Source organism: Homo sapiens, chromosome 16 (assembly GCF_000001405.40).
Source record: "Homo sapiens chromosome 16, GRCh38.p14 Primary Assembly".
NCBI lineage: Eukaryota > Metazoa > Chordata > Mammalia > Primates > Hominidae > Homo > Homo sapiens.
Genome location: NC_000016.10, coordinates 29,095,772 through 29,122,231, shown reverse-complemented (window position 1 = coordinate 29,122,231; position 26,460 = coordinate 29,095,772). Strand labels below are relative to the sequence as shown.

At 45.6% G+C, this 26,460-nt stretch overlaps 1 long non-coding RNA gene and 1 pseudogene across 3 annotated transcripts in view, besides 1 other annotated feature; one reads left to right on the top strand and one right to left on the bottom strand.

The window, feature by feature from the left end:
* Window positions 1-5,513: 5,513 nt before the first annotated feature.
* RRN3P2 (RRN3 pseudogene 2) overlaps window positions 5,514-26,460 on the bottom strand; it is a 41,877-nt pseudogene continuing 20,930 nt past the window's right edge. Inside the window, exons 11-17 of the transcript NR_003369.2 lie at window positions 25,971-26,101; window positions 24,916-25,100; window positions 23,019-23,127; window positions 20,093-20,245; window positions 18,070-18,157; window positions 9,091-9,182; window positions 5,514-6,105 (exon numbers count right to left, since the gene is read on the bottom strand). The product of NR_003369.2 is annotated as an RRN3 pseudogene 2 (transcript). The remainder of the gene's footprint in view (window positions 6,106-9,090; window positions 9,183-18,069; window positions 18,158-20,092; window positions 20,246-23,018; window positions 23,128-24,915; window positions 25,101-25,970; window positions 26,102-26,460) is intronic.
* Window positions 6,557-7,105: an enhancer, noted in NCBI's record as "H3K4me1 hESC enhancer chr16:29126448-29126996 (GRCh37/hg19 assembly coordinates)". NCBI's record gives its function as "activates a minimal SCP1, AML or CMV promoter by ChIP-STARR-seq in naive H9 embryonic stem cells {active_cell/tissue: H9 hESC(naive)}" and the evidence as "EXISTENCE:reporter gene assay evidence [ECO:0000049][PMID:30033119]".
* Window positions 14,084-17,722, top strand: LOC101928215 (uncharacterized). Of its 2 annotated transcripts, none has more exons than XR_001752356.2 (3): window positions 14,084-14,203; window positions 14,535-14,639; window positions 17,093-17,722. It is a non-coding gene; the product is annotated as an uncharacterized LOC101928215 (long non-coding RNA). The 2 variants fall into 2 exon arrangements; XR_950967.3 differs by having other exon boundaries at window positions 14,535-14,680.

Here is a 26,460-nt window from a genome sequence, read left to right as displayed (position 1 = left end):
AAGACATACTTTAAAAGAAATCACATTTTTAAAAATTTCCAGAACTAGTCTTATACAGAAGCCTATGGTTTATAATTGTTGTAAAATTGTAGAAACATGCTAGTTCTTTAATTGTTTAATGTTCTTAAAGATAAACATCTATGACTTTAAAAAGCAGATTTTAAAATCTATTTTTTAATTAAAATAAACTAAAATAAAATTAGCTTTTTATTTTTAAAAATAATTTTTCGAGTCAGTCAGTATGTTCAGTTAATGAAAACAAAGCAGAAAATCCTGGGCTGTGAGCTGCTGTCTGAGCTGCCCAGTAGCCAACTCCACAGGTGTGCTGGGGACACAGAGCCCTGTCACCTGCCCTGTGTCCTGGATGTGCGCAGCCACACAGGCCTGCATCCCCTCGCCCGCCCTGTGTCCTGGATGTGCACAGCCACGCGGGCCTGCATCCCCTGTCGCCCGCCCTGTGTCCTGGATGTGCGCAGCCACGTGGGCCTGCATCCCCTGTCGCCCGCCCTGTGTCCTGGATGTGCGCAGCCACGTGGGCCTGCATCCCCTGTCACCCGCCCTGTGTCCTGTGTCTTGGATGTGCGCAGCCATGTGGGCCTGCATCCCCTGACGGGCAACACTCCATGCTCTGCTGCATCCTGTTTACACCACTATCTCTGTCCAGCTTCGAAGTATAGACAAAGGATGTTAACATTTACCTGTATAAACGTGAGCATGTGCGTGCCCTGGATCCCTGCAGGCCATGTGACATAACGAATGCCCCAACTGAACTGTCCACACTAGCATTCAAAGGACAGGCCCAAACATCTTTAAAGTTAAAACCTCAGGTCACTACACCAAAACTACAATGAAGCAAAATCCAAACTGATGGCGCACCTGCAGGAAGAAAATACGCCCCTACCTACAAAACTTAAAAGACCATTTTTCTTGTCCCCAAGTCGATGATGACTGTTGGATGGGGCCCATCCAGGTGACTCGCATTTTTATTACAATGATTCAACTTTAGCTTCAAATAAAAGGGGCTTTCTTTTTCTTTTCTTTGTTCTCGAAGTTATTTAAAGAATCTCATTCAGGTGTAGAACCCAAAAATTTGGATCCAAAATGCCAAGTGAGGCAAGCAGTACTCCACTGCCTTCTTGTGTTCCAGAGAGTGAAAGGAAAGAATAATCAGCTCTCAGCACTGATAGTACAGAACAGTCAGTTTTAATGAGAAATAACCAACAGGTGGGGTGGATTTCAACACACAGAGAGGGGGCCTTAGTGACGCCCCTGCTGCTGCAAGGCTGTGCCCGCCCTTGAGGGTTGGGCTGGCTCTGAGCAGATGCAGCCGCGCTAAACAGAAGGGCGAGTGACACCGCAGGGGGCAGCTTCTCGCACTCTCTCCAGGGGCCTCGTCACAACTCAGAGCCCCTTAAGGTGTCTGCATCTGTGCTGTAAGATTACACTCGGACTTCCCAGCTAATCCCTCACAGCAAGGAGTGAGCCCTGGGAACCCCGGGCTATTTTAACAGCATACGATTTGGATGTAATACTATCTGTGACTTACATACTTCTAATCTTCATTTAAAATATTTGAGTCCCGGCTGGGGGCGGTGGCTCACACCTGTATCCCAGCACTTTGGGAGGCTGAGGCGGGTGGATCATGAGGTCAGGAGTTTGAGATCAGACTGACCAACATGGTGAAACCCCATCTCTAATTAAAAAAAAAAAATTAGCCAGGCGTGGTGGCCTGCACCCATAATCCCAGCTACTCAGGAGGCTGAGGCAGGAGAATCACTAGAACCTGGGAGGCAGAGGTTGCAGTGAGCCAAGATCATGCCATTGCACTCCAGCCTGGGTGACAGAGCGAGACTCCATCTCAAAATATCTGAGTCCCAAAATAAATAATCCATAGAAGCACTTTATTATTCGGAATGCTAACCAATTTTTAACTTTGGAGACTTTTCCTTTTCAATGTTCCACTGCCCAATTTTAGACAGACAATTCTGATTCACTCATATGTGTTCACAAATTAGTAACTTTCTAATTTAAACATACTTTTTTTCATTGACATACTGGGATTATGTTCTTATCTGTTATTTCTCCCCTACAATTTTCTGTCAACAGCTTTCAACTGTTGGCAATTTTTATTTCTAATTTTCAGGACTTATATGGAAAGATACCAGCCTGTCCAACATGGCAAAACCTCATCTCTATTAAAAAATACAAAAATTAGCCAAGCATAGTAGCGTGCACCTATAGTTCCATCTACTCGGGAGGCTGAGGTGGGAGAATCGCTTGAATCCGGGAGGCAGAGGTTGCAGTGAGCCGAGACTGCACCACTGTACTCCAGCCTGCATGACAGAGTGAGACTGCCTTTTAAAAAGAACTTACATGGAAAGAAATGCCAGACTTAATAACATCCTTTTTTTTTTTTTTTTTTTTTTTTTTGAGTTAGGGTCTCATTCAGCCGGGAGTGCAGTGGCAGAGTCACAGCTCACCATAGTCTCACCTTCCCAGGCTCAAGCAATCCTCCCACCTCAGCCCCCTAAGGGATTATAGGCAGGTTCTACTGTGCCCAGCTAATTTTTTAAATTTTTTTGTAGAGATGGGGGTCTCACTATGTTGCCCATGCTGGTCTGGAACTCTTGGGTTCAAGTGATCCTTCCATCTTGGCCTTCCAAAATGCTGGAATTATAGGTGTGAGCCATCACACCCAGTCTCCTTCTTTAAAAGTCATTCAAATATGCCATATTTAAAACTTTACTATGAAAGGAAATCACTCCACTAGGCGTGGTGGCTCACGCCTTTAATCCCAGCACTCTGGGAGGCCGAGGCAGGCAGATCACCTAAGGTAAAGAGTTCAAGACCAGCCTGGCTAATGTGGCAAAACCCTGTCTCTTCTAAAATTACAAAAATTAGCTGGGCGGCGTGGTGCATGCCTGTAATCCCAGCTACTCGGGAGGATGAGGCAGGAGAATTGCTTGAGCCTGGGAGGCAGAGGCTGCAGTGAGCCAAGATTGCGCCACTGCACTCCAGCCTGGGTGGCAGAGCAGAGTCTCAAAAAAAAGGAAACCATTCTTACATTTTCTTTTAATTTTGAATAGGATATATTTTAAATAGGATTTTGAATAGAATATATTTTTATCCTATTTAAAACTATGAGAAAATAGAACGATTCTTCTATTAATCTTAATTTTTACAAATAATGGTTTTATTAGCAATATTAATAATCCCCATGCTGATATACAATAAATATATTCTACAATAGGTTGATTTTGCCTTGCCAATACAGTTCTTTCAAACCGGAAGATCTCACACATCTGGGTTAACTGGATTGTGCATCTGAGTCAGTATTAGGCAACTTTACTCTTATTTCACTGCTTGTTGACAAGCAGACAGACAACCACCGCAGGGCTGTGAATGATAACACCTGCCCCCAGCAGAGGGAAGCATGGGGGATTTCTGCCACGGCAGGTCTGTGACTAACATCACGTTTTCATGGGCACAGACACTGTTACCCTCAGAAAGCAGGAGGACCCTGGGCCGAAGCAGCCCCAGAGGAGCTCCAGGTCCTCTTCCTCTTATCTTAAACTAGAAACTCAGATGGAAATGAATGCGTGACTTGGCCAAGGTCACCTCAGTGTCTGTCAGGGCAACTGTGACAGCCAGAGGCCCAAGCTCCGCCCTGTGCAGATGGAATCCAAGCAAGGCACCCTCAAGGCCAACCCACGACAGAAACCACACTCAGCCTTTGGAGTTCTTCACAGAGGAACTTCTCTCCCCATCGCACATTGTCAGTGGTGGAATCTAACGACCAATTTTGTCAACACTTTTCCCAAGTGGTGACAATGACCTGCCCAGCACTGGCACAACGTGACAAGTGACAAGTGACACGTGATGGGCAGCCGTCCACCAGCACACAAGGTTCCGGGGGCAGGAGAGGTTCGTTCATCCTTGTGTTTAATTCCTTAGAACAGTGGTTCTCAATGCAGGTGCCCAGGGGTGCTTTGAGATCCCGTGGGACATCTTTGGTGGTCAAGATTCAGAGAGTACTGGAATTTGGCAGGCAGAGGCAAGGGAGGTTGAGACGTCCTTCAATGAGCGAGACAGTCTCACCCAACAAAAACTCTCCACATACAAAACTTACAATGAACCAGAACTTCATGAGTGGAAAACATGCTTCTAACTCTCTGAACTCAGAATCTTACTCTATTCAACGTTTACACACAAAACATTTTTGCACGGTCTTACTATGACTTGAATTTTCCATGAATTCAACTATTACATAAGTCTAGAAAAAATTATACTTTGCTTTATGTGAAAGTTCATTAGGAACTGCTCACCATTCTGTAATATTCCATCACCAGCTGGGGGCTGAACTCCCAGTGTCACACCTGGGTCCATCTGCAGGGACCGCCCCCCGGTCACCAGGACGCAACACACCAGGTGGGACGTCCGGCTTTTTCACGGCTAACCATCACCATGTTGAAATGTGTTGTCTTATTACACAATACTATCACATTCATTCTCTACAGCTAGGGCAGTCTAATAACTATAAGTTATAAATTACATTTTCTTTTTTTTTGGAAACATAAATTATATTTTCTAAGAACTGCATTTTAGGGTAAGAGGACATTACCCCAAAAAACTATCCTAAAAAAAAGGCATTGGGTCCAACAGCTTTGCACACCTGACCTGGGAGCCCAACAGCGTCCCTGCACAGAGGACATGGTAAACAAACTCCTGCTGGGGGGAAACATGTGAGTGACAGCATTTGTGCAGGGCGAAGGCCTCATCTCAGAGTAACACGTGAACGATCCCCAGCTCCCGCCTGCGAAATGAGATGCCAACTCCACCACCAGCAGCGGAGCTCGGAAGACGGCCGGGTAGCGTTTCCAAAACTTCCGGCATGCCCGAGAGCTCAAAGAGGCACCACTGCTTCAGCCAGCACAGCAGCCATCATGTGGAGCTGCCCCCAGACTTCCCACACTCCCTGGCGAGGTCCACAAAGCACCTAACCCAGCACCAGCCACCAGCACACATGGGCAGGGTGGCACCTGCAGCACACACGGGCAGCAAGGTCACAACAGTCCCTCCAGGCTTGTTGCGGCTCCCATTCCTCGGCATCCACATGTCCTCCCCGGCCCCCCCACTGCCGTCCCACCATTCTCTCTCCTCCCAGACACACCGGGCAGAAGGCTACAGCCAGGCCAGGGAACCTGAAGTGAGCAGCGCTCAGTCAAAAGGCCCCTTGTCAAGCACAAAGCTGTGCCGTGTCCACTGCCTTAAGCAGGACTTCTTTCTGGCCAGGTGTGGGGAAGGTTAGCAACACCAGAGCCTGAGCTTCAGCGCGAGCTGTCAGCTGGAATATCTGACAGGAAGCCTTGGATGAGTGGACACCAAGCAGGTCCGAGACTTCTTAAGACATCATAAAGGTTCCACTCAAACAGTTCACAAACTACCACACAGCCTTCTAAGATTAGACTCATTAGACTCTACTTTTTAAAAATAAGCAAAATAAAAACTGCAGATTTGAATGAAAAGTTTGATATATTCATGTGAAATGTATAAACACCACATACGAAGAAAAACATATCTAAAGACTAGCCAGGTAGAGTAGGAAAAAGGAAAGAAGCACGTGTACATCTTCTAAGATCTGGTGGGTTAGTTCCAAAGAAAAGGTGTATGGGCCGGCTTTATGTGGAAAGGAAAGGTGAGGATGACTTCAGGTCATCCTGGCAGGATGCCATGTGTTCGGTTTCGGTCTAACTAAAGTCAGCTTTAGTTAGAAACTGCTGAGACTGCTGAGGCAGACACTGCGCATCTCCAGCAAACTGAGCCACTAAGCTGCGGGCCTGGGCGAGGAGGTGACGCGCTTCTCCCCAAGTGACCTGAAGGCCCCGGCACCCTGGTCTGTTCTTACCATCGCACTTTGTTGCACATCTGGGTTGTCCTGAGAGGGGAGCCGGCAACCATGGGAACCTGGATGGGGCTGTGCTGCTTGTTCGTGACCAGATCCAGCTTTTCTTCTAAGGATTTACAAGTAGCCTCCAGGGCTTGCAATTTGGCTTCAATGCTATCCAACCGCAAGCAGATTGTCTGGTTGATGGAATACAGGAATGACTGGAAGTGAGAAAAGACCGGCTTTAGGAAGGGTCTCCTGAACTGTAAGAAGACAACCCCAAGAAACACCAAACAGCTATTTCCTGATCTCAACTCTATCTATTCAGACAGAACAATCCCCACACTGGAACTAGCTTCTGAGCTATGAGCCAGAAACATGTGAGTAACAAGTTCACATTTTACACACGAGTCACACGTCCTGTTTCAAATGTGATGATTTAGTCATGGTTTCACTTCTATGTGCAGTTGCAATTCTTGGTTAAGCCCATTTAATTTTAAAAATGTACTTTAATATGTTATTATTAATCAGTAAATTTACATATAAAACTAGTCAAATCTTCTCAACAATAAAAACAGATTACACCTAACATCGAAACAGCATAAAAGCCACAGGCCACGCACATTCACCTCACACCCCGCTGCCTAATCGGAAAAGGTGACGGGACCCCCTGTGGCCCTGACTTGGGATTTGGTCCTGAGGCTCCCGTGGGGCTCTTGAGCGGCAAGCTTGCCACCTAGTGGTTGGCAAAGCCGGGCTCCACGTCTGACCTTTCCGGCTGAGTCTCCTCCGGATTTCTAACTCCAAGTAACCACAGTGAGCAGTCACGTGCCGGACTCCAAACCCAAGAAACAGAAAACACACAAACCAGAAAGGGAAGAACTTCATTTCCCTAGCTGCCGTCCCATCCAGGAGCCACCATGAGCACACGTGGAAACGTGTTAATCACACAGGAATTGCACTGTGCAAAAGAGACACCCTCCACCAGGTCTCACCAGCAGACAGAAGGACACTCCTTCGGGTCTAGGGAGGGACAGGTTGGGGGAGTGCCCACCAGCCCTGCTTAGTACTCAGGAAGGCTGGCACCTGCCTTAAGAATCAACAGCTGAAAATAGCACAGAATTTGTGTTTTGTCTTTTCTCTCTCCTTTCCTGCCCATGACCTAAAGAGTGTGGGGTCCAAAGTGCACACATCAGAAGGAAGGGGGAGGTAGGCTCGGGACAGCAGGGGCGGCACTGTGGCAGCCACTGAGAGCTGGCCGTGGAGCTCGCAGCACAGGGGAGCGGGAGGCCGTCCCACACTGACGGGGGAGCGGGAGCCTGGCCCACATTGAAGCTGGAACCGCTTTCCCACTAACTGCAGCTGACCTACAACACTGCTTACACCCACTCTCCTTTCTGATCTCAAGGGAATCTGCAGAATATCAAAACTGCAGTGATATCCTACAACATGTAGCTGGCATGGAAACCTGGTGTACATAGTGGCAGGGACAGCACTGCAGGAGGGAAAATCCACATATTGCCCAACAACTCACCTTTTCTCAGGTCACCACCTCTCCTGGCAAGATTCACCACTGGGCACTGATATAGACAGGAGCTAAAGAAACCAACTGAAACTCACCCTCCCTGACTGACTACTCTCTGTTTAAGGCGCGTGTGAGAGAGGGAAGGAACCACGGCATCAGGTGGACCCAAGCCCACGTGATGACACTCAATCAGCTTATCTACAAAGGAGGCACGGTCCATGGCATGACAAACATGCATCGTCTTGAAAAGCAACAATAGGTGGCTGAATCCCTGAATGGCCACTGATAACCCCGCTATTTTCAACAACCAGAGAACATCAAATGTTTGGCTCTCAAATTCTTTAAACAGTACACCCATATTATTTTAATTCTGAATTACCAATGATTCTGCCTGGGGTTTTGGGAAAAATCACTCTTATATACCAATAAAACAACCTAGAGCCACGCACACGACTCTACGCAAGTCACATTCAACCGGGGGCCCACCCTCTTCTCAACAGTGGGACAAGGACAAAGGCAGGGCCACTTCCATGCCCACTTTATATATTTCTGTGCTATGTGTAATAGATGTGTCTTCTGTGATAAAATCACAACTGCGTTTTATTTAGGAAATGATAACGCAGTGTTTACTAAAAGAGCCACATCCTATCCATTGGTTGGAAATAGGCATTTTACAGTGAATTTATTTGTAAGTTTTTCATACACATTTACACTGCTTCTCCTTGTTAACAAAACAAATTAAATATTACCAAATAGACACCCTGTGTAAGTAGAGGAATTATATGAAAAGTGACTTTGGTTTTGTGTTGCTCTCATAACCTTCTCACATGTGCCGATATTTACCTCTGTGACTGCAAACACTGGAACCAACCAAGCAAATTCAAAGATCCAAAAATAATTAACTGAATGAGCAGTTCCCAAGAACCCCATCTAGTAAACTTTAGAATCTAAGTGACTTAAATGGCAGACACAGAAGTCATTCATCACTGGTAGAAATTTCACTTTCCTTCCATCCAAAATGGGCCTGCAGGTGTGTGGGAAGATGCCTCCTTCAGCAGCATCTCAAGGTAAACAATTCTTACTCTTTGTGCTCTTCAAGAGAAAAAATGGCTCACACTCTTCTGTAGCAGGCTGCCTGGTGACATAGCCACACCCTAAAGTGATATATCCACATCCTAACCGCCAGAACCTACCCATGTGGTCTCTTTGGAAACTGTGGAGATGTAATTTAGAAACTCTTTGGGTCTGTGTAGATGTAATTTAGTCAATGAGATCAACCTGGATTAGGGTGGGCCTTAAATCCAATGACAAGTCCTTACTAGAGGAGAGAAGGGGAAACAGTCACAGACACACAGAGGTGGCAGCAACATGAAGAGGAAGGCACAGCTGGAAGGAGCCCCACAAGCTGAGGCAGGGCCGGAGCCACTAGAAGCTGGAAGAGGCAGGAAGGATCCACCTTGTAGAACCTTTGGAGGGAGCGAGCCCCTGCCTGCATCTTGGTTTTGGATCTCTGGCCTCCACAGCTGAGAGGCTACATTTGTAAGCCATCCCATTGATGGTAATTTGTTATAGCAGCCCTTGAAATCTGCAATGCACTACACATCACAGAACACTGCAGCACACTACACATCACAGAACACTGCAGTGCACTACACATCACAGAACAGAGTCAGATTTTTACCTTTATAGATGGATCCTGGCAATTGATTTCTAGTCGCTGGCATTTCAAAGCAGGTTCGTCTTCATCTGTCGCTACATGATTCTCCAGAACAACTGAAATCAGTGACAGAGAAAAAAAATGTTTAACATGAAAAGTTTTACAGAATTATTTTAACATTAAGATAGTAAACAGTGCTGACACCTTAAGGTTGAATGAGAAACAGCAGAACCTATTTCATATTTTACCTTTTTAAACTTATTCTCAGTCAGGCAGAAAAATAGGATAACTCCTTAATCCCAAGAAAAGCCCAGACACTGGGTAATTAATGTGCCACTGAGTCAGTCCTAACTCCAAACCTGCAAGCTTCTGACTTCTGACTCAATGCTCTGTGGGGCTGCCCTGTTTGGTTTGAGAAAACCCACGATAAAACCCAATCGATAATAATGATTTCTTCCCAACTTTAAAATAAAGTTTTATCTGTTGGTCACCTCATTCCAAAATCAAAGCCACTCTATCTGCAGGTCCAGAACTAAAAGGGGAAAAAATACACTGAATATCACATTGTCATGGGTGCTGATAATCAAAACAGTCTCAACCTTAACACACTAAGTGACCCTCCCAGGCACAGCTGAGACCAGCTGCCCCCATCACACAGCAAGTGTCAGGTGATCGTCACGGCTTCCCACAGGATAAGCAACTCGGCCCCAGCTCAGGGCGGCCACAGTGTGGTCCCAACCTCCTTCCTTTTGTCTAAAACTGACTACAAAAACAATGTCAAAGATAACCTCAAAATCAAAGACCAAAATCGGCCACAATTGCCTCATCTCTGCAAATCACATTTCTATCTGTCTGTGACCCTTCTAGTCCTTTTCCTTAGACCTAGTCAATTTTTAAAAATTTACATATTTGCAGTTATAGATAGAAGTTTAAGGTCAACAGTTCTTGTTAAAGATTGTACATTGTGCCATGAGTGTTTTTTTCTTCTCATTTCCTTGCCTGAAATGACAGTGTGAACTGTCTAGTGCACTCCTACCGCACTCTACTCTACATGCTCACACAGAGATAAGCAAATGGCATACATGTGGGAGGTGCGAGACCATCTACCTCATCAACAGATTTGTCTGCAGCCTTCTTCTTCACTAAGCAACAAATACGGACTCTGGGTTAATATTAATCATCTTGTTTGTTTTTTGTTTTTTGTTTTTTAAGAGATGAGGTCTTGCTATGTCACCCAGGCTGGACTCAAACTCCTGTACTCAAGGGACCCCCCACCTCAGCCCGAGTAGCTGGGACTATCCAGGTTAATAGCTTTAAGTTTTTAACAGTAATACCAGTGTGTGACTATTTACAAAAATGAATGCCAGCATATAAGAATAGATATTATATACACGCATACATATGAGCACGCTTACTGTAACATTTCTGATAGAAAAAAATCAGAAATCTGAATGCTGGCCACTGGGAATGCCTTTCAGCACTTGCACACCTTGGCACACCATCTGCTTTCAAGGGCACCAACACCACAGCCAAGGAGGATGACCTCACTGTGGCCAGATGACACCTGCCCCGCTCTGCTGGTGCTGTGCCCCAGCCCTTCCCATACTACCAACCCTCCAGCCACCTCCACCAGGGAAATCTAACCACCTTCTGTCCAGCCCCACTCAAATGCCGCCTTGTTCGGGAAGGCATTCCTGGAAGGGTCTCAACTCACACCTGTTTATACTGTGACACCAACAAGGTCACAGCACCCACCCCACAGCAGACCGCCCTCCCAGCACCTTACACACAAGGCTGCCCACCGATGTGGATGAAGCACTCCTGGCTGGCATTCAGATTCTCCAGGTGCTAGAGGAAAGCCAAGTGCACAGTCCCCTCTGGTCCCTGCCTCCACCTCCACCAAAGCAACTCCCCTCAGACGTGTTACATAGATTGACATTCCGAAGAAGATCTTAACAGGAAAACAAAAGAGTGTCCATGCCTTTAAGCCTGTACACACTAGATGATTCATCTCAAAACTCTAAAACTGAAAGATGCTGAATTGTCCTGCAGTTCTAACAGGAACGTCTCACAGGTCCTAGGCAAAAGCAGTCAAATCTGATCTACCTGGTGGGAAATTATCCAAAGCCAAGGACCACTGTCAGCCGATTTTGGTCTTTGATTTTGAGGTTATCTTTGACATTGTTTTTGTAGTCAATTTTAGACAAAGGAAGGAGGTTGGGACCACACTGTGGCCGCCCTGAGCTGGGGCCGAGTTGCTTATCCTGTGGGAAGCCGTGATGATCACCTGACGCTTGCTGTGTGATGGGGGCAGCTGGTCTCAGCTGTGCCTGGGAGGGTCGGGGTTCTGTCACTTAGTGTGTTAAGGTTGAGACAGTTTTGATTATCAGCACCTATGACACACTGGTCACACACTGGTATTACTGTTAAAAACTTTAAGCTATTAGCCTCGATAGTCCCAGCTACTCAGGGGCTGAGGTGGGGGTGTCCCTTGAGTACAGCACACAGCTCTGCCTTCGGCCTCAGGACTCCTTACAGGCAGGGAGCGCATCAACCATCTCCACCTAAGCCTTTGCAGATGAATTCTCACTTCATGAAACTTTTAAAACTCCATCCATGCCTACAAGTGCCTGTGGTTAGTCAAAGTTTCTCAGGACCTCAGTCAAAGGCTCTTTACTCTCACTGGAAACTGGTCATCACACAAGGCCTGGAAGAACAGAGAGAGAGACCCTTGTACTCATTACTCTAACCTTTTAGTTTGCTGAGAAGAAAACAAGTCCAGGAAGGTTACGGGACTTCTCTGGGGTCACAGAGCTAGTTTCGTCATAACGGCAGAAGAGAGGTGTGCAGTAACTCCAGTAATGACTCCACAGGTAGTGGGACAGCAAGTGACATTTATTTTCTTCTTTGTACTTTGCTGCTTTTTGTATGTGTTGCTTTTTATAATTTTGTATGCATTACTTTTAGAATTAGACCAAAGAACTCCTTGTTCATTTTAAAGATATCACAATCAGGCTGGGTGCAGTGGCTCACGCCTATAATCCCAGCACTTTGGGAGGCCGAGGTGAGTGATCACCTGAGGTCAGGAGTTTGAGACCAGCCTGGCCAACATAGTGAAATCCCCGTCTCTACTGAAAATACAAAAATTAGCTGGGCGTGGTGGCGGGCACCTGTAATCCCAGCTACTTGGGAGGCTGAGGCAGGAGAATCACTTGAATTCAGGAGACAAAGGTTGCAGTGAGCCGAGATCACGTCACTGCACTCCAGCCTGGCAACAGAGCAAAACTCTGTCTTAAATAAGTAAATAAAGATATCACAATCAATCAACTGCAGTGACAGGCCTGATGCAAGTCACAATTTTTGCATTCAGACAGGTAGAGTAAGCACAAGCCATAGTCGGTACACGCCAAGTCAGATGATCCTAGAAGTCTTTCTTTTAAATAAAAATAAGGAAAAGTTGGAAAGACATACACGTCAACAATTTAAAAGCTGCTACAACCAGTAGAATTATGGGAAATTTTTATTTCTTCTACTTTCTTGACTATCCTGTTAAACTTTATTAGATGCATACTTTCGAGACAAGGAAAGTACTTTAAACCTACTATGAATGCAAATGTGTTTGACACATCAAGGTACCTGCAGCTGTGCACACTTTCTCCTGGGTCAGAGACTGCAGGCTTTGTACTGGGGCAGGCCTTGGAGCTCTGTGCACAGTAGGTTTTGTTTTTTTTTTTTTGAGACCGAGTCTTGCTCTGTCGCCCAGGCTGGAGTGCAGTGGCGCGATCTCAGCTCACTGCAAGCTCCGCCTCCCGGGATCACACCATTCTCCTGCCTCAGCCTCCTGAGCAGCTGGGACTACAGGCATCCACCACCACGTCCAGCTAATTTTTTGTATTTTTTTTGTATTTATAGTAGAGACTTCACCGTGTTTGCCAGGATGGTCTCGATCCCCTGACATCGTGATCCGCCCGCCTCAGCCTCCCAAGGTGCTGGGATTACAGGCATGAGCCACCATGCCTGGCTGACACAGTAGGCTTTTAACAAATACTCAAGAAATCGCAGTTCTTAGGCATTTAAGGAACAGAGTTGGAACAAAATCAAGATTCAAAATTATTTCTCTAAGCCTTCTTTGGGCCACAGTCTACAAAGAGATTGGGGAAGTAGGCTGTCAGAACTTTAATGGTTCTGAAATCACCGAAAATGATGTAACTGGAACACTTTCATTTCACAAGATTACAGTGTTACATTTTCTAAAGAAACTGTCATTTGCCTTCTGAACTAGAAACAGGGATTTGTAAAATAATGTGCAGTGATGGCGTGGAAAACTAACCAGCAGCACTCCTGAAATGCTGCCTTCGTGTTCCCCTGGGACTGCTCGCCTCACCCCAAAACTATTTCTACTGCCTTCCCCTTCCATGCTACAACTAGTCTCCAAAGGTAGTTTTCTCTACTAACAAAGCAAACAGATCATATGAACGGACATCAGACTTTCTTAGGAGATTTCTGAAAATTCTCTCTTCTGGGGGAATAAATTGTGAGCATTTCGATTCAAACATTCCTGAAAGAATAACCAGGCAACCGAAACACTCAGTGACCTAACTGTGGTAGGCTGGTCACTTCAAACTTAACAGAACAATAAAACATATACTACTTTATGGCCAAAAAAAAAAATCTTTTTAAAACAATAAGTGTGGACAAAGTGTTTTCACAGATGAAGAGATGAAGTTCCTGAAATTTAGGGTTTCATTTCTCAAGGGTCTCCTTTAAACAAACAAACAGTTATGATTTCAAAGTAGACATGTGCCTTCAACACCATTTTTAAAAATTACCAGCCTTAGCAAAGGTGTAGAAAAAACTTGTTCTCAAGCACTGTCCGTGGAAGAATTAGTAAAACATTTCTAGAAAACCTGTTACCGTCTTAACAAACTTTTAAACACATGTAGCAATTCTACTTCCAGGAACTTATCTATTTGCCAAGACATATATGCAAGGATCTTCCCTATAGGGTTGTGTATAAAGGAAAAATCAGACAGACTATGCCAGGAGCCCTCTGAAAGAGAAGAGTCAACTGTGGAGGGGGCACCTGTGAATGAATCCTGCGGAGCTGCTAACAGAGCAGACTTACACACACAACATGGTAAAGTTCCATGACACTGCACACAGGGGATTACACACACAACATGGTAAGGTTCCATGATGCCACACACAGGGGATTACACACACCACATGGTAAGGATCCATGACGCCGCACACAGGGGATTACATACACAACATGGTAAGGTTCCATGACACCGCACACGGGATTACACACACAACATGGTAAGGTTCCATGACACTGCACACAGGGGATTACACACACAACATGGTAAGGTTCCATGACACTGTACACACGGGATTAGGTGAGCGGGGGAGGGGCTGGGGGAATAATAACATCAAAAGAGCGCCTTTTCTTCCCTTATTCCGAGGAGACTTTCCTGGGCCTGACTCCCGGACCTGTCCCCAGCGCCTCGCGGCCTCTCGAGCCCCTTCAGTGACCAAGATGCAGAGATCAGGACGCCATTGCACCACCCCAGGTGCCCGCCTCTAGCTGGCTCCGCCTGGGCCCCGAGGGAAGGTGAGGTCGGGGGGGCCGGGCCAGGGCGTGGCAGCCAGGGTGTTTGTCCGCCGGGCTTGCTGCCTCTGGTGGCCCGGCAGCACCGTCCCACCTCTGCCACCCTCCGATGGGGCCGCTACCTGCGTGCCTGCCAATCATGCTGCTCCTGCTGCTGCTGCTGCTGCTGCTGCTTGGACCTGGCCCCAGGTCTGGCGAGGGTGAGTGAGGAAAGGGCTTTCCCAGAACTCAGGCATTCCGGGATTCCTCCAGCCCTTCCTAGGGACCCAGCAGCCCTGCCTCCCATCCTTCTCCAAGTTCCTAGTTGCCCTAGAGCCCCCAGCTTGCTCTTCTAATGCTCACCCACACTCTGGGTCCCAGCCCTCTGCAGGGCCCCCCACTCACTCCTCCCAGGGACCCAGAACTAGCCCAGCCCTTCCCCAGGGCCACAGAGTCCTCTCCTGGCTCCCTCCCCTAACCGGCTGTGACCCTCTCCAGCAGCCCGGAAGCTTCCCGGTTGTCCTGATCTGGGGTCCGCGAACTTATCCTTCATTCCACCTGTCCCTGAGATGTGAGACACCAGAGGGTGGGAGGAGCAGGGGCAGAAAGGGCCCAGCTTGGGGGTGGGAGAAGAATATATTGTGCCCCTGTACAACAGACCCCGGTGACCAAAAAAAAAGAACATACTGTCCCTACCCCACTATCCATCCTTTGGGTTCACTGTAGAGAGGTCTCCTGGGTGACTGCCCATTTCTGGGGTGTACAGATACATGTAGCCACAGAATACTATGCAGACACCGCCAGCACACAGATGCGCAGGCACAGGACCAGCCCCAGACTCACCTGGCCCTCAGGTGTGCAGCTCACGGTGTGCAGCTCCCACAGGCAAAAATACTGAGATACTGCTAGGGGGACACATGCACACACAGCTCAAGGATACCCGAGACAGCACTCAGGACAATTCAGATGCGCCGTGTACACACACACACACACACACACACACACACACAGAGAGCAGCACAGACACACACACACACACACACACAAACTGAGAGAGAGAGAAAGGCACAGACACACATATGTGCACATAGACCCTGGGGCTCACAGGATGCACAGACAACCCTGGCCCTCCCCAAGGAGGCTGCAGCGGGCAGACAGGGCAAACAGACCCCAGCGTGACCTGCCCCACCTATGTTGGCACAGAGGGAGTGTTTTGCTTGGTTATAAGCAGTGCTCATGCCTGCCCCATGCCTAGAACCCTCCCTCTATAGGGCTGTTGCTAGGGCTCTGAGATACCAGAGTGTGGTCAGGGAGTGTGGCAGGGGAAACTTTGGGGACAGCTTCAGGGTACCGTGTTGGGACTGGGACATTGTCAGGGTGCTCAGAGTGGGCGTGTTCCCTGGGTCTTGGTGGATTTAGAGGTCGAGGGACCATTTCTGGAAGCTCACTGTGTGCCAGGGGAGCTTATATCAGAGATCTTTTTTTTTTTTTTTTAAGACAGAGTCTCACTGTTGCCCAGGCTGGAGTGCAGTGGCACCATTTCGGCTCACTGCAACCTCCACCTCCCGGGTCCAAGAGATTCTCCTACCTCAGCCTCCTGAGTAGCTGGGACTACAGGCGTGCACCACCACACCTGGCTAATTTTTGTATTTTTAGTAGAGACGGGGTTTCACCATGTTAGCAAGGCTGGTCTCGAACTCCTGACCTCAGGTGATCCACCTGCCTTAGCCTCTGAAAGTGCTGAGATTACAGGCATGAGCCACTGCGCTTGGCCAGAGATCTGCTCTGGAAGACCCCCCAGGCCGGAGGGCACTGCCACAAGCAGACAGTATGGCGAGGGTCCCTATGGCCACCTGGCAGGCAGGGTGGATTCTGGAGGGAGGTGGCCTGGGAGCAGGCTGAGGATGGGGTGAGGGCATTTGAGCAGCAGAGTGTCTGCGTGACTGGGCATAACTGGAGGGACAGTAAATGACTCTTGTGTGAGAGGATGAGGGAGGGGTGAGAGCGGCTGACTACCCCTAGGACTTTTGTATTTTTAGTAGAGACAGGGTTTCACCATGTTGGCCAGGATGGTCTCGAACTCCTGACCTTGTGATCTGCCTGCCTCAGCCTCCCAAAGTACTGGGATTACAGGTGTGAGCCACCGCACCTGGACACGTTACTTAATATTTCTGTGCCTTGATTTCTTCATCTGTGAAATGGGATTGTTGTGAGAACACAAAGGGATTCCCAGGGCAGTTCCTAGTGCATAGTCTGGCTGCCTTTGTGTGTGTGTGTGTTTAATATAGAGACAGGGTCTCACTATGTTGCCTAGGCTGGTTTCAAACTCCTGGGCTCCAGTGATCCTCCTGCTTCCACCCAAAGTGGTGCGATTACAGGCGTGAGTCAACACACCTGGTCACTTTATATTATTATTATTTTTTTCTTTTGAGACAGGGTCTGGCGCTGTCGCCCAGGTTGGAATACAGCGGTGCAATCTCAACTCACTGCAAACTCCGCCTCCCAGGTTCAAGCAATTCTCCTGCCTCAGTCTCCTGAGTAGCTGAGATTACAGATGCCTGCCACCACACGCAGCTAATTGGTTGGGTGTGGTGGGGCTTTCCAATGATTACTTATTAATGATTACTTATGAAAAACAACAACAAAAAAGCCATCTTGAAGCTGCTTTTAATGAGAGAACAAATGTGCTCCCAAGCAACAGAGCAGCGAAATTCTTTATTACTGGATTCTAACTTTCCTCTCTAACTGTAACTGTCTCAGCTCCACCTCATGTGACTTGGAGGGTATGTTGCAACCTGCGTCTTCACCACCCATTCATGAAGATCTATAAAACTAATGTAAACTGCTGGGGCAATTTCAACATGAGTCAACTGGAGATTGTTACTTGGTGAGAATGCGCAAGTGGCAAAGATCTAAATTTGTTCAGCTAATTTGTAATTAACCTTCGCTTCTCACATGTCAGTATGTGAAGTGTCTGGTTTAAGCAATTTATCCAAAAAAGCCATAGACTCTTTAAATAACAACAAAACCTGGGCCTGGAATTTTATAAAGGCAGAATGAGTAAGACACGGTTTCGGTGTGCTTTTTTAAAGAAAACAGGGTCTTGCTCTGTTGCCCAGGATGAAATGCCATGCTGCATTTACAGCTCACTGCAGCCTTGACCTCCCACCTCAGCTTCCAGAGGAGCTGGGATTACAGGTGTGCACCACCACGCCCAGCTAATTTAAAAAATTTTTGTAGAAACAGGGTGTCACTGTGTTGCCCAGGCTGGTCTCCAGCAATCCTCTGGCCTTGACCCCCTACAGTGTGGGGATTACACCCATGAGCGACTTGCCACTTACTATCACTATCTGACTGTGACCTGGAACCAGAAAGGAGATTCCGAGAGTGTGCTCAATCAATCACAAACTGACCTTTTTCATGGGTTTCTTGAACTCCTGTAGCTCTTCAGCACTCATGTCTTCCCATACCTGATAAATAGGATCAATGAATTTCTTTGACCTGTCAACAAAGATCACATTTCAAAGTCAAGTTAAATACTTCAGCAGAAGTCAAAATTGGTTTGGATCTTTTCTCACAAGATCTATTACCCAAAACCAAGAAGTGAAAACTACAGCTTAAATAATTACATTTAAAAAAACCTGGCTGGGCGCAGTGGCTCACGCCTGTAATCCCAGCACTTTGGGAGGCTGAGGTGGGCAGATCATGAGGTCAGGAGATCGAGACCATCCTGGCTAACACGGTGAAACCCCATCTCTACTAAAAATACAAAAAATTAGCCGGGTGTGGTGGCGGACGCCTGTAGTCCCAGCTACTCAGGAGGCTGAGGCAGAATGGCCTGAACCTGGGAGGCAGAGCTTGCAGCGAGCCGATATCATGCCACTGCACTCCAGCCTGGGCGACAGAGCGAGACTGTCTCAAAAAAAAAAAAAAGAAAAAGAAAAAAACAAAACAAAAAAACAACCCTCTATGTAAATGCTGTAACTAATGTGGCTCTTTCTGTATAAGAGTTCATTCACTCATGTCGATGGAGTATTGAACTACCATTTTTCATCTTTCCATTTTCATGTGAAATTGTTTCTAAACTTTACAAAAACTGACAAGTCAGTTAGATACAGTATATCCAAATGGAAATGAAACCGCAATATTCTGGAACTCTCTTTTTTATATTTCTGTAGTAATTTGCTGAAAAGTAAGTCTAGGAAAAACAACTAATCTGGTTTCAGTCAACCAAGACTTCAGGGACCAGACAACCCCAGATGGTCATGATGCTGCTAGTTATTTTAGATACCATAATAAGCAAAAATCCTGCTTCCTTATACAAGTGCCAAGTTAAGGCTGGCCCAGTGGTTTTCTAGAATAACTCATCTAGATAAATCGCTTTTTGGTTTTTTTTTTTGTTTTTTGAGACAGAGTCTCACTCTCTCACCCAGGCTGGAGTGCAGTGGTGCAATCTCGGCTCACTGCAACCTCCACCTCCCGGGTTCAAGCGATTCTCCTGCCTCAGCCTCCCGAGTAGCTGGAATTACAGGCGCCCACCACCATGCCCGGCTAATTTTTGTATTTTTAGTAGAGACAGGGTTTCACCATCTTGGCTAGGCTGGTCTTGAACTCCTGACTTCAAGTGATCCGCCCGCCTCAGCCTCCCAAAGTGCTCGGATTACAGGCATGAGCCATTACGCCCAGCCAATTGTTTGTTTTTTGTTTATCCTGTGCAACAGAATGGGATGTGGTCTCTAGAGGAAGGAACAAGACACTTGGCAGAAAATTATGAAGCAAGAAAAGACAGCACCCTCCCCTATCCTGGCACCATTATCCCCATAACCTTACATGTTTAAATAACAGTTTAAAGAAAAACAAAAAAAAACCCAAAAAACCCTTGATGTCAGTCTGGCTCCTAGTGAGGCAAAGATCTACCCACTCTGGGGTGCCTGCACCACTCAGCAAGTCCTGCTAGAAATCCTCTACTTTGCATCTGTGAAATATACACAGGGAGACCACGAGATGCTCATCAACAGCGAGGAAGGGCCACTTCTGGTGAAGAGCCCTAAATCCCAATTTTGGGAAAAGCAAACATGTATCACGTTTAAATCCACCTCCTGGCCGGGCGCGGTGGCTCACGCCTGTAATTCCAGCACTTTGGGAGGCCGAGGCGGGCGGATCATGAGGTCAGGAGATCGAGACCATCCTGGCTAACACAGTGAAACCCCATCTCTACTAAAAATACAAAAAAATTAGCCAGGCGTGGCAGTGGGTGCCTGTAGTCCCAGCTACTTGGGAGGCTGAGGCAGGAGAATGGCGTGAACCCGGGAGGCGGAGCTTGAGGTGAGCCGAGATCACACCACCGCACTCCAGCCTGGGCGACAGAGCGAGACTCCGTCTCAAAAAGAAAAAAAAAATCCACCTCCTCCAGCGTCAATGTTTAAAAGTACCTACCTCTTCAGCACACAGGGATCAAAGGGGAAGAAGGTGTCCAGTGGGTTTGTGCAGGTCTGCACTGAGTCTCCTCCAGTGGTACTCCTAATGACTGGCAGCATCTGGCGATTGTTCCTCTCAATGATGGTGTAGCAGAAGACGAGCTGGTACTTACTGTGGAACAAAAAAACAACACAGACAGAGGCATTAACATGCTGGAGTGACTCTGCGGATGTGAGCTGCATGTGACAACTGTACCTACCAGAGAAATTGCTGAATATAACAAGTGCTAGTAAAAATAACAATATAAAGCAGAAAGTAACACTTTTAGGGTACCGTTCTATGGGTCTTCTATCTGCAAGTTTGCTAAGGAGAAAGAAAACGTGGCTATCACTCAGAATGTGAAACTGGGCTTATATTTTAATGAGTAATAGATATTATTCATTAAAAATAAATGTTTGCAAGGCAAAACTCTTAGATTACATAACTATAGGTGTCTTTATTTTTACTGTTTGCAAAAGAATTAGAAGGTTGGTGGAAAAGGGATTCAGGAGTTACTCAGGAGGAAATAGCGGTTGGTGAAGAGACTTGCTGAAGAAGCACTGAAGAAGAAATAAGCCTTTACTGAAGGAGGGACAAGGGGTTGACTAAGTCATGACCTCAAAAACAGGCACAGAAAGGACTAGGCATGCCGAGTGAGAACAGTTAAATGCATAGAAGAAAACATAACATAAAGACAATTATGTTTTTAATTTTTCCAGTAGTTGTCTCTAAATGATTGAGCAACTTGAAAAATTATCTATTGGACAGCTTCTCCAAGATGAGGACTTAGATCTCACTTCTGTCACTCTCCATGTCAGGTTCTCAGGTCACCATGGCAACTTCAAGCCACATACTTTGATTTCTGTCCTGTTAGCCAAGGCTCACAGCACTTGACCCCTCCACCTGGTGGAGGACACATCAGCAAAACCACACTGGAGGGTGGTTTGCACTATCAGGTAAAGTTGAAGATCTGCATCTCCTACAACCCCGCAGCTGACCGCACTTCCGGGTGTGTGACAAGGAAGCGTGTGCCCACACACAAGAATGTTCCTGAGCACTAAAACACTAACACAGCCGGCTGGGCACGGTGGCTCACACCTGTAATCCCAGCACTTTGGGAGGTTGAGGCAGGTGGTTCACTTGAGCTCAGGAGTTTGAGACCAGCCTGGTCAACATGATGAAACCCCGTCTCTACTAAAAATACAAAAATTAGCTGGGTGTGGTGGCAGGTGCCTGTAATCCCAGCTATTCGGGAGGCTGAGGCAGGAGAAGTGCATGAGCCTGGGAGGTGGTGGTTGTAGTGAGCTAAGATCACACCACTGCCCTCCAGCCTGGGTGACAGAGCAAGACCTTGTCTCAAAAAAAAAAAAAAAAAGACAAAAACTAACAGATGAAATCCCAACAAAGACTCAATAAAAAAGATTCCCAGAACATAACACAGCAGTTAAAATCAAAATAAAGCTTTGTGTCAATATGGTTCAATCTCAAAAGCATCAAGCAGGCAAAAGCAACAGCTACAGAATGGTACACGCCTTTATTTACCATATCTGTACCTAGGCAGAGACTTTTATTTCAATCCCCTGCTCTTAGCCTCACATCGCATCACACTCTGTCCCTCCAATGTGCATGCCAACCCCAAATCGAGAGCCCCTGGACCAGATGGTTCACAAATGCAGTCCTCTGTCCCCACCCCGAGAACATACCAGGGGCAGCGGCCTCTGCTTTGCTTCATCCATCCTCACTCTTTGAGCTGCTCACCATCTTAACCAAAGTGCTGAAGCCTCCACCCACTCACCGCCGTTGCTTATTGGTCTCTTTATGCCTTTTCCTAATCCTTTACTATCACTGAGACTCAGAAGAGAGGACACCTTGAACCAGACGCCTAGCAAAGGAGAACTAAAGAGGCTGACAGAGCTCAGCAAGCTGCTGGCTCTTATCTGTTGAAGATTTTAAGCTATGATCTGGCCTAAATATCCTCATTGAATATTCAATTCTCCAATTTGCTTTCTCCATAAAGCAGAATAACTTAGTGAAAGCTTACAAAGGAGCCAGACTACATATAAATCTGTGCTGCCAGTCTAGCTCTATGACTTTAGGCAAGTGATTTCACCTCTCTGTACCTCCACCTCCCTGTTGATAAACAGGGTTTCATCCTAGAGGGTTGTTTGAGGATCAAATTAGTTCTATGTAAAGTGCTTAGAACTGCCTGGCACAGAGGAAAGGCTATGGATTAGCCATAGCTACCAGATCTGAGAGAACAGAACTCTCTAAACCAATCTCTTACAGGTCAACATTTGCCTCATGTCCAGTTTATTTCTATTACTATTACAGGAGTCACTCTAATAAGCATCTATGGCTTTGCCCCTCTCAGCTTACTGGTTGCCATACTTATTTCAAAGTGCTGCCCTTTGGATAAGAAGTAGTAGTAATTTCCAATGCCATCAAAGTATAAAAACAATAGCTGTATCACAGTATTTCCTGCAAGGACTGGGTTGTTTTTGTTTGTTTAAGAGACAGGGTCTCATTCTGGAGCCCAGACTGGAAGGCAGTGGTACAATCAGGGCTCACTGCATCCTTGACCTCCTGGGCTCAAGTGATCCTCCTACCTCAGCCTCCTGAGTAGTTGGGACTACAGGCACAGGCAACCACACCCAGCTAATTTTTAAAATTTTTTTATAGAGATAGGGTCTCACTATGTTGCTCAAGCTGGTCTTTTAACTCCTGGCCTCAAGCAATCCTCCCACCTCAGCCTCCCAAAATGTTGAGATTACAGGTGTCAGCCACCACACCTGGCCTTTTATAATGTTACTAATTTCATAGAAATTTAACAGACTCTTACAATACTAGATAAACATAAATAAAAATATTTTAAATAACTCCCATCAAGAAAGCGTAAATAACTTACTTTGTGATTGCAGCAAAAAAGTTAACCACTGAGGGCAGGCAAATCTTCAGGGGATTTAGCTGGCTCATCACTATCCACTCAAAATTCAGACTCTGAAGATACTGCAAACCTTTGGTTTAAAAAAAAAAAGATTTTTTAAAGGTACAAATAAGTGAAAAGTGTAAGATATCTTTAAAAGCACAAATTATCACACATTTAAAAAAAACTTAAAAAAATTATTTGCAGAAATGCTTTAAATAAAGGTCCATGCAGATAGTCACACAGTAATATGGCCCAGAAGAGTATCACTAGGCTAACCACATTCATTGGTCACCAAGGCAGCTTCTCTAAAGAAAACTTAGGAAGTAGCAGGCTGTAAGATTCCACGACAACACGAAGTTCATACGTTTGTAAGCTCAGTGTATGCTGAGATAATACAGAGGGAGAAAAAGACCTTGTGATTTGGTTTCAGCTAACAATCACGACAGGCAACAAAACAAAACAGCAATTTGATTCTAGCTTGCATGTCTTGTTAGTGAAGCTGAGTGCTGTTTTCAGGTGCACAGTAGTCATCTGTAGTTTTTTTTCTAAACAAGAAAACTCCAAATTTGCCTTCTACCTCGACGGACGGCAAATTTAGACAGAAGCCACTTTCTTAGACTTAATGAATACAATTCTTTCCTACATGAGTAAAATAAAGACATCACATTTATTTTAAGAGACAAGCTGACCAACTTGTACTTAAGTATATTTTCTTAGGAGTTTCTTTGATGCATATTTCAATAAAAATTACCTAAATGGGATGTCACTGCTTACAAAAACAAGATATTTAATTCAGATTCCTGGCATTAATTTATACAAAGAAAAGCAGAGCTTGTATTTACTTACCTTGTGATAAAACCTCATCCTACTAGTTCATACAACATCTTTTAGAAGCATGTAGGATGTAGGTAAACATATATAATGCAACACGTACAACTTTCAGTTTAGAGCTGTGGCTGTTAACCTAAGGAGACTGCAACCCCCACAGAGGACACCTGGCAGTGTCTGGAGACACTTTTAGTTGTCACAGCTGGGGGTGGTCAGGGACTGCTGTTGGCAGCTAGTAGGTGGAGGCTGTTAAACATCCTACAGTGCAGAGGACAGCCCCCGACGATGAAGGATGATGCAGCCCAAATGGCAATCATGCAGGGTTGACAGACCCTGGTTTAGAGGAAGTGACCCACAAAACCATATGAATTATTCATAAACATAAACAGAACAATTTACAATGACTTATAAACACTGTTCTTGGAGACTCTCTTCAACTAAAATACGCTAATCTAGTAAGTTTCAACTGATAGATTTGAATTATAACTCTTAGAAATTAGCAAAACAATACTGGTCAATTAAGTCTCAAGGCTTCAGGCAGAGTTTAATCTATATAAACTCAAACTTTAGGGTCAGCTGAACCTGGCTTCAGTTTTCTAATCCTGCCAGTAACCATGTGATCTTGGGAAAATGACTTTCCTGTGCTTTGGTGCTGTCTGTAAAGGGAGAATACCTGCCATTTACTGGGCTGTTACAAGGACAACAAAGAGAAGGTGCATCCAAATGAAGCTTTGTACAGGGCGCTGGCACAGCCCAGGGCTCAGCCTCACCTCTGGAGACATCTTCACATTTCAAACCTTCAAAGGCAGAAACCTCTTTCTTAACCTCAAATCCATCTTAAGGGGTTTGCAGGGTTCTCAAGCTCAAATCTATCTTAAGGGGTTTGTAGGGGCCTATGAGCTGCTTGAAATTATTATTAAAAGTTTGAGTGTACATGCAGTTTTCTGAATCCAGTTTTTATAAAAATCTCAAAAAAGTAATGAATCACCATTCTGAAGGGTGACAAGAACACAAGGAAAATCCAGTCCAGCACTCCCACAACACTGACCTTCTTTCAGGTTTCCGCTCAAAAGCTGCTTGTGTCTAAAAACAAAGGTGTAGAACACAGCTTGGCAGGCTGAGTAAAATGGTCCATGGAGAGCAACATCGCAGAATGCCTTTGTTCCCGAATCCTGGTTATTAAGGTATATGTGCAGCCAGTTAACCAAAAGATCTAGGCATGATTTTACAGTACTAGAGGAAAGAAAAATTCAAATCAACTTTACACTTCATAAAAAAACCAGAATAACATAAAAACACACAACTGCCTTTCATTACAAACCATGCTAAGTAAGTTCATAGGTTTCTTTAAATAATACCCATGGGTACAGAGGAAAAGCAAAGAAAGGAAGGATAAGGATGAGTGCGTAGGAAGACAACCTTCCAATTACAAGGCAGAGTAGCTCTGACCTTCTAGGAACAGGTGAGCCCCTAAGAACGTCCCAAGGGATGGAAAGCAGGTTCTCCTAACCATCTCAAAGGCACCCCTCTTAGGGTGATTGGCCAAATAGGACATGTTCACCAACACCTCTCAAGAGAAAGACAGTCTGGTGGACTTCAGTATTCCCTGATGCATCCAGTCAAGTCCTATGGTGAATAATTTTGTTCTCGGGGAAGGGTTTCAACAGCATCCTTGTCCAAAGATATCTTCATGGGCCACTGCAAGAAACTGGCCTCCTAGATAGGTCTATTACCTTTAAAAGGGTTTTTCTTCAGCTTTAACAGATACAATAGATTTGGAATGCAAATGAAAAAATGACAAACCTACAAAAAGAATCAAAACAGTATACAACACTGTCCTCTATCCACAAAACAAATGGATCTTTAAGTGCAACCACACAAAAGAGATGACAAAAGCCTTACATACAGGGTTTTATATATAGAAAAGGAGACACTTTATTCTAAAATCACCACTTAGAAATATAAACATCTTGCACAGAGTAGGAATTTTATTCACTTTAAAAACATGCCAAAAACATATGGGAGATATTTCTGACTTGAGACAATGCTATACTCTTTTTAAAGCATGATATTAAAAAGTACTCAGAAAATTAGGCTACTTACATAAGAGGAATAAATTTAGCTCTTGCCAAAAAGCTTCCAATATAATTTCCAGCAGCCTGCCTGATGATGGCAGGATTACTTGGATCCTGCAATTTTTTCCAAAGAGGTTCCAAAAATGCCTCTGCGAATCCCTATAAAAAGAGAGGGCGTCGGTGTGATATTTTTTAATGCCTAAGATAATCTGGCTATCAAAATCCCAAGATTTTTACTTCACCAATGTAGGGAAAAGTTCTACTATCTCATAACTATCTCATGGGCTTCATTTTTAAAACACGTTGAGAGAATATCATTAAAAACAAAAGGCACCTCGGGTGTTAAATAATCCAATGGATCCCAAACCTAGCTAAGCATCAAAATCAACCCAGGGCCAGGCACAGTGGCTCACGCCTGTAATCCCAGCACTTTGGGAGGCCGAGGCGGGTGGATCACCCAACGTCAGGAGCTCGAGACCAGACTGGCCAACATGGAGAAACCCTGTCTCTACTAAAAA